General features: G+C 45.9%; 1 protein-coding gene across 19 annotated transcripts in view, besides 1 other annotated feature; it reads left to right on the forward strand.

Moving 5' to 3' along the window:
- Positions 1–12,483, forward strand: part of KDM4C (lysine demethylase 4C) — a 454,786-nt gene that overhangs the window by 67,579 nt on the left and 374,724 nt on the right. For 18 of the 19 annotated variants that reach the window (NR_148680.3, NR_148679.3, NR_148677.3 and 15 more), the window contains exon 2: positions 4,531–4,691. Coding sequence is in view for 8 of the 19 variants with exons in the window: in NM_001146696.2 (NP_001140168.1) it covers positions 4,531–4,691 (161 nt within the window). In the remaining 11 variants the exon portion in view is untranslated. Of the gene's footprint in view, positions 1–4,530; positions 4,692–12,483 lie in introns of those variants that run through there. The other variant, XM_047423029.1, reaches the window with a different exon arrangement.
- Positions 642–1,357: an enhancer, noted in NCBI's record as "H3K27ac-H3K4me1 hESC enhancer chr9:6789083-6789798 (GRCh37/hg19 assembly coordinates)". NCBI's record gives its function as "activates a minimal SCP1, AML or CMV promoter by ChIP-STARR-seq in primed H9 embryonic stem cells {active_cell/tissue: H9 hESC(primed)}" and the evidence as "EXISTENCE:reporter gene assay evidence [ECO:0000049][PMID:30033119]".

Here is a 12,483-nt window from a genome sequence, read left to right on the forward strand (position 1 = left end):
GGCTTCTACCCTGTTCTCACTGCCCAGATTTTTCTGTTGCATTATTCTTTACCAGTCATGCAAGTGAATCTGTTTTCTAAGTAACTTTTCTGTGTTTGGGACTACTGCTTTCCTTTTCCTGAATTTGGTATCATTATGTAAATATGTTAACAATTTGGCACTTACTCCTTCATTCAGCTGGCAAATAATTATTGCAGCAGATACTGTGAGCCAGGCTGGGGTGCCAGACTGTATGCTAGGGCTTAAAGAGGTGGCGAGCCGGCATTTCCCTGGAGGAGCTGATGGCTCAGTGGGTGGTTGGAAGTGCCAGCAGTTGGGACAGGCAACTGCTATAATGAACGCAGAGGGGGAGTTGGGAACACGGTGATGGGTCAGGCAGGCCTGTTCCAGAGGATTAGGAATCTCAGGGGTGTGCAGGAGTTTGTCAGGTGAGGAAGCAGGCAGAGGCTGCTGTGAGGGGAAGGAATACCGTGCAGAAACACAGAAAGCTTTGCTTGTTTACAGAAGCACAAGTCAGTGAGTATTGTTGGAGTGTAAAGTACAGTGCAGACAGTGATGATGGACGAGGCCATAGTAGTTAGGTGAGGGCCAGATCCAGATTTTTGTTTTTTTTTTTTTTTGAAACAGGGTCCCACTCTTTCACCCAGGCTGGAGTGGGAGTGCAGTGGCACAGTCTTGGCTCACTGCACCCTCTGCCCCCCGGGGTGGTAAAGCAGTCCTCCCGTCTCAGCCTCCGAGTAGCTGGGACTATAGGCGCTCACCATCACGCCTGGCTAATTTTTTTTTTTTTTTTTTTGAGATGGCGTTTTGCTCTTGTTGCCCAGGCTGGAGTGCAATGGCGTGATCTCAGCTCACTGCAACCTCCGCCTCCTGGGTTCAAGCAATTCTCCCGCCTCAGCCTCCCGAATAGCTTGGCTTATAGACATGTGCCACCACGCCTGGCTAATTTTTGTATTTTTAGTAGAGACGGGGTTTCTCCATGTTGGTCAGGCTGTCTCGAACTCCTGACCTCAGGTGATCCACCCACCTCAGCCTCCCAAAGTGTTGGGATTACAGGCGTGAGCCACTGTGCCCGGCCACGCCCAGCAAATTTTTATATTTTTTTTTAGAGACAGGGTTTCGCCATGTTGCCCAGGCTGGTCTCCAACTCCTGGACTCGAGTGATCTGCCTGCCTCGACCTCTCAAAGTGCTGGGATTACAGGTGTGAGCCACCGTGCCTGGACCAGATCCAGATGCTTCTAAAGGACTGTGTGTATACTATATAGAGTGAGGCTGCTATCCTGAAGCCCATGAATTTGGGGGTATGTACCTGTCTACACGTGAACAGAGGCAGGTAGGAATGTAGCCTGGAAGGTTTTTCCCTGTTGCAGGCCCCCTCCCTGAGGCAGGGAGAATTCAGAATATTTTCTACCATGTGTTAATATATTTTTGTGCAGATTATTTTCTCCTTTGGATTGTAAGTTCCTAAAGGGTGGTGAGGTTTAAATTTTATGTATCTCCTACTTCCTCATGTGTGCATTGTGAGATAGATGCTCATTTAAACTTTCTAGGCTGGGTGCGGTGGCTCACGCCTGTAATCCCAGCACTTTGGGAGGCCGAGGCGGGTGGGATCGCCTGAGGTCAGGAGTTTGAGATCAGCCTGGCCAACATGGCGAAACCCATCCCTAAAAATACAAAAATTGGCCGGGTGTGGTGGTGTGATCCGCTCGCCTTGGCCTCCTGAAGTGCTGGGATTACAGGCGTGAGCCACCGCGCCTGGCCAAACTTTCTTTAAACAAATAATGACTACATCACTATCTGTAGCCCTGCTCTGTTTTTTTTGTTTTTTTGTTTTTGTTTTTGAGATGGAGTGCAGTGGCGTGATCTGGGCTCACTCACTGCAAGCTCCGCCTCCTGGATTCATGCCATTCTCCTGCCTCAGCCTCCTGAGTAACTTGGACTACAGGTGCCTGCCACCACACCTGGCTAATTTTTTTTTTTTTGTATTTTTTAGTAGAGATGGGGTTTCACCGTGTTAGCCAGGATGGTCTCCATCTCCTGACCTCAACTGATCCGCCCGCCTCGGCCTCCCAGAGTGCGGGGATTATAGGCATGAGCCCTAGCCCTGGCCAGCCCTGCTCTGTTTTAACCTGTTACTATCTCATGACGTTTCACCCTTTTATCTGCCCCATCCCTCATTTCTAATTTTTCTGTCAGGCAGATTAAATTCAGCAAAAAAAAAAAAAAAAAAAAAAAAAAAAGAGGAAAACTTTTTTCCAGGAGGATTTGTTGTTTGTGCTGTCAGATGCCAGGTCCTAATGGATTTAGAAGAAGGTTGGGGTGGGACTCCTTCCTGAGGCAGCCACTTTAGTGCTTCTTACTTACCTTTGCATTCTGTGTGCCTGTCTCATGATAGGTGCTCAATAAATGTTTGCTGAAGGAATCATCCTGTTTATTGACAGCGAGATTAAGCCTGTGTTTTCATAGTAAAACCTGCCTACTTTCCTACTTTGATCTCCTATAGTCTTTCCTTTCTATGCTCCAGACACATTATTAAACTCCTGTCCGTTCCAGCGGTACTTCCAGATATTTCTGCTGCCTAGAGTGCCCTTTCTCTTGTCTGGCCAACTCCCATACCTTCTTATAAGACTTAACTCTCCCCCTTTCTGGGAAAATGATTGCTCATTAACCCAGGTGGAGTTAGTTACTTCTTCCTGTGTCACTCCATCACCCAGGCTGGAGTGCAGTGGCATGATCTCGGCTTACTGCAACTTCTACCTCCCAGGTTCAAGTGATTTTCCTGCCTCAGTCTCCCTAGTAGCTGGGACTACAGGCGTGTGCCACCACGCCCGGCTAATTTTTTATATTTTTAGTAGAGATGGCGTTTTACCGTGTTGCCCGGGGTGGTCTTGAACTCCTGGCCTCAAGTGATATGCCCGCCTCCAAAGTGTTGGGATTACAGGTGTGAACTATCACTCCCAGCCCTTGTGTACATTTTTATATTGAAGTTTGTTCAGCCTCTAGACAGTTTGGAAGGTGAAGACAGACCTCATCCCTTTCTGTCTCCATCGTCATTCTTTTCCGTGTTTTGCCTGGTGCTTGGCGATTTTGCTGAATGGATGGCTTGTTAATTACTGTAGGAAGGCATGATATGACAATCTGTAAGCACACCTGAGTAAACTAACGATTTTTAACATTCTCTACTCAGCCTAGACTAGGCCTTTGTACAGGTACGTATGTGAGTGAGAGTCTGTTTCAGAACTGGTATATAGAAGCAACATCTTTTGTAAACTTGCAAGGTTAGAAAATTCATTTTTACGGCCAGACACAGTGGCTCATGCCTGTAATCCCAGCACTTTGGGAGGCCAAGGCGGGTGGATCACCTGAGGTCGGGAGTTCGAGACCGGCCTGACCAACATGGAGAAACCCCATTTTTACTAAAAATACAAAATTACCTGGGTGTGGTAGACCATGCCTGTAATCCGAGCTACCCGGAAGGCTGAGGCAGGAGAATCACTGGAACCCGGGAGGTCGAGGCTGTGGTGTGCCGAGATTGCGCCATTTCACTCCAGCCTGGGCAACAGGAGTAAAACTCCGTCTCAAAAAGAAAAAGAGAAAAGGAAAATTTATTTTTACGTCTGGGCTCGGTAGCTCACATCTGTAAATCCCAGCACTTTGGGAGGCAGAGGCTGGCGGATTGGCTGAGGTCAGGAGTTCTAGATCAGCCTGGCTAACATGGTGAAACTCCATCTCTACTAAAAATACAAAAAAGGTAGCCCGGCATGGTGGCGGGTGCCTGTAATCCCAGCTACTGGGGAGGCTGAGGCAGGAAAATCGCTTGAACCTGGGAGGTGGAGGTTGCAGTGAGCCGAGATTGCGCCGCTGCACTCCTGCCTAGGCAATATAGCGAGACTGTCTCAAAAAAAAAATTTTTATTTATTTTTTATTTATTTATTTTTTGAGACGGAGTCTTACTCTGTCGCTCAGACCAGAGTCTCACCCTGTCACCCAGGCTGGAGTGCAGTGGCGAGATCTTGGCTCACTGCAACTTCAGCCTCCCAGGTTCAAGCAATTTTGCTGCCTCAGCCTCCTGAGTAACTGGGATTACAGGCATGTACCACCACACCCGGCTAAGTTTTGTATTTTTAGTAGAGGTGGGGTTTCACCATGTTGGCTAGTCTGGTCTCGAACTCCTGACCTTGTGATCTGCCCGTCTTGGCCCCCCAAAGTGCTGAGATTACAGGCGTGAGCCACCGCACCCGGCCTAGAAAATTTATTTTTACTTGGAAGGGTTTTGAGGAGGCTAACAGTATAGTCAGATCAGTGGTTCTCTACCTGGCATAGGGAACTTGGCAAGAGGAATGACTAGAGGCCCTTGTTTGTTCAGGGGTTCAGGCAGAGATGAGGGAGTCTCCCTGAGACTGGTAGAAGGGAATGGGAAGTGACTGAAAGAGAAGGGTTCCTGCTGGGGGAGCTGACATACTATTTGTTAAAAATGACCTAAAGCATATAATAATTCAGTTCTGTTGACCCTACTGTCTTCTCTCCAGACACTGCCCTAACCATCATGGAGGTGGCCGAGGTGGAAAGTCCTCTGAACCCCAGCTGTAAGATAATGACCTTCAGACCCTCCATGGAGGAGTTCCGGGAGTTCAACAAATACCTTGCATACATGGAGTCTAAAGGAGCCCATCGTGCGGGTCTTGCAAAGGTGATTATCCTTCGATGCTTTAAATGAAAAACAATCACTTGGCCTTTAATTTATGTTCTTAGTTTTCACGATTTGGGACATTGTTTCTGAAGGAAGAAATTTGCAAAATCTTTGTTCTCGTTAATCCATGTGAAACATTTGATTTCTTCAAATAGTAATTGTCTTATTTTTCCTTCAAGTATAACTATTCATACTAGGTTGTCTTCTAAGGCTTAAAAAAAAAAAATCAAAACCAACCAAGGGTGGCTGATGGAAACCAAGGAGATCCATGTATGGGTTTCAGAGGTGTGAGAGTATTCATAGTTTTTGTCAGTTTTTTTGTAGACAACAATTATTAACCTGAAGGTTAACCACAATTTCTCTCTCCTATCCTTTTTCTTTCCTTCTATGTTTTTTCTTTTCTTTCTTTCTTTTTTTTTTTTTTGAGACAGAGTTTTGCTCTTGCCGCCCAGGCTGGAGTGCAATGGCGTGATCTCGGCTCACTGCAATCTCCACCTCCCGGGTTCCAGTGATTCTCCTGCCTCAGCCTCCCGAAGTAGCTGGGATTACAGGCACCCACCACCATGCCCCGCTAATTTTTTTGTATTTTTAGTTGAGACGGGGTTTCACCATGTTGGCCAGGCTGGTCTTGAACTCCTGACCTCAGGTGATCCATCCGCCTCGGCTTCCCAAAGTGCGGGGATTAAAGGCGTGAGCCACTGTGCCCGGCCTCTTTTTTTTTATATAACACTTATTGATATATTTTATCATATAATAATATTGTATAATGCATCCATTTAAAGTGTGCAATTCAGTGATTTTGAGTATATTCACAGAATTGTGCAATCATTACCGCTATAGAATTCTGTAACATTTTCATCATCCCCCAAAGAAACTTCATATGCATTAAGCAGTCATTCTCCATTCCCTGCTATCACCCCCAGCCCATAGGCAACCACAAACTGACTTATTCTCTCTCTACATTTGCCTATTCTCTTTTCTTTCTGGTTATTTGTTCAACAAATGTGGAGATTGCCTGCTATGTGCCAGACACTATGCCAGGTGCTAGAGGTAGGGATATGGGGGAGCAGAACAGACGATGTTCCTGCCCCCATGGAGCTTACATTCTAGTTGTAGCATCTTAGAATGATGAAATAAGGACATTTAAGCACAGATCCAAAGGATAAAAATAAACCAGTCTTTTCAAGATATGGGGACAGAAAGAATAGCAAGTCCAGCGGCCTGGAGGCTGACCTGTACTTTGTGGCTGGGAGGAATAGGAAGGTGGTCAGTGGACTTGTCTGGCTATGGTAAGGCATTTGGGATTTTAAGTGTAGAGGGAAGCACTGACAGGCTTAAAGTGGGAGAGGAAGATATGGTGGCTGTTTGTTTCTTTCTTTTGCTATTTTTGGGACATTATTTTGAAAAGATCACACTGGCTCCTACATGAAGAATGAATTGGTGTTGTGGGGGCAGAGCACAAATAAAGCACCTTGTCTGGGATAGTTATATTTATCTAGTGAAGAGCCAATGGTGACCCAGACCAGTGAAGATGGGAGAAGTTGTCTTTGGTCTGGATATGTTTGAAAATATCATCTTATCTTATTCTTACGGGTGCCAGATAATATTCTTAAAAAAAAATGGTAGTGACTTAAGCCTTGTGGGTGTAAGTGACATGCCCCGAGTCATAGGGGTGGTCAGTGAGGTGCTGAGAACTCATTGCACATTTGGATGCATAGGTCCAAAGTAAGATCTTTGAAAGAGAGATCCACTATATGATATAATTCATCGTCCAACTTGAGATGGTTTGTGTGTCCCTTCTATAATGTAAGTCTATTTTAATTAAAAAATTTCCCATGGAAGAATATATTTCATTGCACTTGTTTCAATTTATTATTGTTCTAAATGTTAAATTTATAATCTGGGTTTCTGTAGACTTGTCAATATCACTGCATAAATCCCTGAGTCCTGACAGAGTCTGCTGCCAGGCCGAACCACTCAGTTGCACTTATGTAAAGGGTTCTCCTTGAAATCCCCAGCTATGGAGGTCAGATAGCATGGAAAACAGAAGATAGTTGAGGAGAGAGCTTCCAGAACTATTGGGATTGGTGTTCAACTCCTCCTGCAAATGGACCTGATGCTACTTGTAACCCACTACTTTACTGTTTCTGGTATCTGTACCCTGAGGCCTGTAATTAGGTTGTATATATATATATTTTTTGTTGTTGTTTCTTTTTGAGACGGGAGTCTCGCTCTGTTGCCCAGGCAGGAGTGCAGAGGCACGATCTCAGCTCACTGCAACCTCTGCCTCCTGGTTTCAAGCTATTCTCCTGCCTCAGCCTCCTGAATAGCTGGGATTACAGGCATGTACCACCATGCCTGGATAATTTTTGTGTTTTTAGTAGAGACAGGGTTTCACCATGTTGGCTAGGCTGGTCTCAAACTCCTGACCTCAAATGACCTGCCTTCCTTGGCCTCCCAAAATGCTGGGATTATAGGCATGAGCCACCGTGCCCGGACATGTATCTTGTTAAAGTTCATGCCCTTCCTAGAAAATTTTTTTTTTTTCTTTTTTTTTGAGACAGTGTCTCATTTTGTCACCCAAGCTGGAGTGCAGTGGCATGATATTGGCTCACTGCAGTCTGGACCTTCCAGGTTCAAGCGATCCCCCTCCCTCAGCCCCGCAATTAGCTGGGATTACAGGTATGCAGCACCATGCCTGGCTAAGTTTTGTATTTTTTGTAGAGCCAAGGTTTCACCATGTTGCCTAGGCTGGTCTCGAACACCAGGACTCAAGTGGTCTGCCCGCTTTGGCCTCCCAAATTGCTGGAATTATAAGCATCAGCCACTGCCCCTGGCCCCTTCCTAGAAAAGTTTTAAAATTTGGGAATATTAAGTTGAGTGAAAATTAATTAGGGGTGGGTGAGAGAGAGAGGAAACAAGATAAAGAGAAAACAAACAGAAACTAAAGCTTCGTAATGACTTTCTCAGATGAGCTATCCTTAGTTTAACTTCTTTATTGGGTTAGCTCATCAAAAAAAAATCTCATTTGGGCTGGGTGTGGGGCTCACGCCTGCAATCCCAGCACTCTGGGAGGCCGAGGTGGGTGGATCACTTGAGGTCAGGAGTTCGAGACCAGCCTGGCCAACATGGTGAAACCCCATCTCTACCAAAAATACAAATTTTAGCCGGGCTTGGAGGTGGGCGCCTGTAGTCCCAGCTAATCGGGAGGCTGAGCCAGGATAATCACTTGAACCCGGGAGGTGGAGGGCAGAGGTTGGGGATAACCATCTCTTCTCTTCTCTGGGCTCTGAATGCAGCCCTTTGTCCTGTTCTCTCCCACTTTTGTTTCCGGAAAACATGTACTGTGTTCCACTGAAATTAGTGGAGTGTCTTGTGAGGTAGGGTGGCACGTTCAGTAACTTTAGAAGAGGAAACAGCAGCTACCCTCACAAGGGAGCTGCATGCACACAGAGCACACCTGCGTCGCTGTCTGCATTATGTAACTGAATAAAGTTAATGAGAACTATGATTACAAAACACACCTGAGTCCAGACCGTGCCTCATTTTTAAAATTGAGACTCATTGACAAAGTTGGAGACATTAATTTACTCAATCCTGTGATAATTTCCTATTACTCATTATTAGGAATACAACGAACTGTTTCAAATCATTTTTGCCATCTTTGACGTCAAGTCACATAAGCTCAGTTTTACTTACTTTCCCTCTTGTTCTGGAAGTTGCAGTAGTAGCATATGTATAAAACTGTACCGAATCAAATCATATTATAAAAATCAAGACTGCATTAATGAAGCTGGTTTGCTTTGGGGGCTAGTCCTGGGGAACCGAGCCACCCATGATGTTCTTTGTTAATGCACTATTTTTTTTTTTTTTTGAGACAGGGTCTTGCCCTGTTAGGCTGGGTGGTGTGATCGTGGCTCACTGCAGCCTTGACCTCCCAGGCTCAAGCAAGTAGCCTCCCAAGTAGCTGGGACTCAGCCTCCCAAGTAGCTGGGACTACCCACGCCTGGGTAATTTTTTTTATTTTTTGTTTTTTGTAGAGATGGGGTCTGCTGTGTTACCCAGAGTGGTCTTGAACTCCTGAGCTCAAGTGCTTCTCCCACCTTGGCCTCCCAAAGTGCTGGGATTACAGGCATGAGCCACTGTGCCTGGCCCGTTAATCCACTATTGACAAGATTTAATGAATTGGTCTTAATTTATGATTTGAAGAAATTGGTCGAGTAGGTGCAACAGTAGTGACTTTAGCTTCAGATGACAGTCTGTCTTGGTTTTTCTCTTTCCCATTTTTTAGATTCATGCTTTAAATTTAACATTTATTTTTTGAGTGGAAGGTTTGACACTTTGACTGTCTACAAAGTTGATGGTCAGGTTGCGAAAGTGAAAAGAGTGGCAGTCTCTTCACATGTAAAACTTGTACTGTTTTTGTGGAAGGAGATTATGATGAACTTTTTTTATATATGAAGTGGGTGAAATTGGTCCCCAACAGAAATCTGAACATAGATTGTCCTGGACTGTAGCTTATGCACATCATGTAGTTTTATGAACAGCCTAGAGAGTGCAAATAGCTATCTTTGCTCACAAGGTGAAGAAAGATTATAAGAAGCACCACTCTTTCTCTTCCTCCTCCTTGCTCACTAGGTAGATGGTAGAAATTGCAATTTATTTCAAGGCAAGTAGTGCAAATGCACATTTTAGCAGAAAGTTTCCCACAGGGAATAGGGGCCAGGCTGGGTTTGTGGGGTTGTTGATAAAAGAAGGTATATTCTGTTTTGATATAATCAGGAAGGTGAACTTCAGAAGGAATGGCTTTCCCTCATTTAGATTCACTAAACATAAAGATTTAACTTTGGAATCTTTTAAAGATCTCAGTATGTTGTGTTTCCCTATGCAAGAAAATCTGATGTCTTAGGATTTCAAATTATAGTTAAAATAAGATTTTTGTTATAGAGCTGAACTTCTGAAAATATATTCCATTTGAACTCTTTAATTTAAATGAACTTGTACACAAAAAGCACAAGGTAATATTTGGATTTTTGTAAGTTTATTGTGTGCCTTGCTTCTCTGTCTTTAGAAAATTGCTGCAAAATATTTTATAGGCAAGCAACTTCCTTTTTTCTTTCTTTCTTTTTTTTTTTTTTATTGATCATTCTTGGATGTTTCTCGCAGAGGGGGATTTGGCAGGGTCATAGGACAATAGTGGAGGGAAGGAGGGAAGGTCAGCAGATAAACAAGTGAACAAAGGTCTCTGGTTTTCCTAGGCAGAGTGTTTGTGTCCCTGGGTACTTGAGATTATGGAGTGGTGATGACTCTTAACGAGCATGCTGCCTTCAAGCATCTGTTTAACAAAGCACATCTTGCACCGCCCTTAATCCATTTAACCCTGAGTGGACACAGCACATGTTTCAGAGAGCACAGGGTTGGGGGTAAGGTCATAGATCAACAGGATCCCAAGGCAGAAGAATTTTTCTTAGTATAGAACAAAATGAAAAGTCTCCCATGTCTACTTCTTTCCACACAGACACAGCAACCATCCGATTTCTCAGTCTTTTCCCCACCTTTCCCCCTTTTCTATTCCACAAAACCGCCATTGTCATCATGGCCCGTTCTCAATGAGCTGTTGGGTACACCTCCCAGACGGGGTGGTGGCCGGGCAGAGGGGCTCCTCACTTCCCCGTAGGGGCGGCCGGGCAGAGGCGCCCCTCACTTCTCAGACGGGGCGGCTGCCGGGCGGAGGGTCTCCTCACTTCTCAGACGGGGCGGCCGGGCAGAGACGTTCCTCACCTCCCAGACGGGGTCGCGGTCGGGTCGAGGCGCTCCTCACATCCCAGACGATGGGTGGCCGGGCAGAGACGCTCCTCACTTCCTAGATGGGATGGCGGCCGGGAAGAGGCGCTCCTCACTTCCTAGGTGGGATGGCGGCCGGGCAGAGACGCTCCTCACTTTCCAGACTGGGCATCCAGGCAGAGGGGCTCCTCACGTCCCAGACGATGGGCGGCCAGGCAGAGACACTCCTCACTTCCCAGACGGGGTGGCGGCCGGGCAGAGGCTGCAATCTCGGCACTTTGGGAGGCCAAGGCAGGCGGCTGGGAGGTGGAGGTTGTAGCGACGCGAGATCACGCCACTGCACTCCAGCCTGGGCACCATTGAGCACTGAGTTAAGGAGACTCTGTCTGCAATCCCGGCATCTTGGGAGGCCGAGGCTGGCGGATCACTCGCGGTTAGGAGCTGGAGACCAGCCCGGCCAACACAGCGAAACCCCGTCTCCACCAAAAAAATACGAAAACCAGTCAGGAGTGGCGGCGCGCGTCTGCAATCGCAGGCACTCTGCAGGCTGAGGCAGGAGAATCAGGCAGGGAGGTTGCAGTGAGCCAAGATGGCAGCAGCACAGTCCAACTTCGGCTTGGCATGAGAGGGAGACCGTGGAAAGGGGAGACAGGAGAGGGATGAGAGGGAGACCGTGGAAAGGGGAGACGGGAGACGGGAGACGGGAGAGGGCTCTTTTTTCTTTTCTTTTTTTTTTTTTTTTTTACAAAACAGAAAAACATTTAATTCTACACATAATATTAATTTTGATTGTGGATATCTTTATTGCTAATGAAGAGCCTGAATAAATCTGTGTTCCATTTTTTTATTATTCTGGCTTATTTCCGAGGAAAAAAGTTAGTTTTTATAACATTCTTAAATATAGTGCCCCTCCCCTTTCAATATGTCATCAAAATAGTAAGGTTATTCATATTCATATGAATGTAGTAAGGTTATTCATATTCATATAGTCTGATTGTTCATATTCTTTTCAAATATTGAGTGTGGCTGGGCATGGTGGCTCACGCCTGTAGTCCCAGCACTTTGGGAGGCCAAGGTGGGAGGATTGCTTGAGCCCATGAGTTCGAGACCAGCCCTGGCAACATAGCGAGACCACATCTTTTCCAAAAAAAAAATAAATAAATAAAAAAGGCCAGGCACAGTGACTCACGCCTGTAATCCCAGCACTTTGGAAGGCTGAGGTGGGTGGATCACTTGAGGCCAGGAGTTTGAGACCAACCTGGACAAATGGTGAAATGCTGTCTCTACTAAAAATACAAAAATTAGTCGGGTGTGGTGGTGCACATCTGTAATCCCAGCTCCTTGGGAGGCTGGGACACGAGAATCACTTGAACCTGAGAGGCTGAGGTTGCAGTGAGCCGAGATTGCTCCACTGCACTCTAGCCTGGGCAACAGTGAGACTCCATCTCAAAAAGCAAACAAACAAACAAAAAATTAACTGAGCGTAGGAGCATGTGCCTGTAGTCCTAGCTGCTTGGGAGGCTGAGGTGGGAGGATTTCTTGAGCCTGAGAGGTCCAGGCTGCTGTGAGCTGCGATCATGCCACTATATTCAAGCCTGGGCAACAGAGTCCCTGTCTCAAAAAAAAAGTTAAATAAAATAATGAGGGTGTGATTTCAGTAACATATACTATGAATGTATATCTATCTATTTTATTTTATTTTTTAATTTATTTTTATTTAGTTCTTTTGAGACAGGGTCTTGCTCTGTCACCCAGGCTGGAGCGCAGTGGTGTGATCTTGGCTCACTGCAGCCTTGTCCTCCCGGGCTCAAGCAGTCGCCCCACCTCAGCCTCCCGAGTAGCTAGGACTATAGGCGTGTGCCACCACACCTGGCTAATTTTTGTATTTTTTTGTAGAGCTGAGCTTTCGCCATGTTGCCTAGGCTTGTCTCGAATTCCTGAGCTCTAGTTATCCTCCAGCCTCGGCCTCCTGAAGTGTTGGGATTACAGGCGTGAGCCACCGTTCCTG

This window comes from Homo sapiens, chromosome 9, assembly GCF_000001405.40.
Source record: "Homo sapiens chromosome 9, GRCh38.p14 Primary Assembly".
Lineage (NCBI taxonomy): Eukaryota > Metazoa > Chordata > Mammalia > Primates > Hominidae > Homo > Homo sapiens.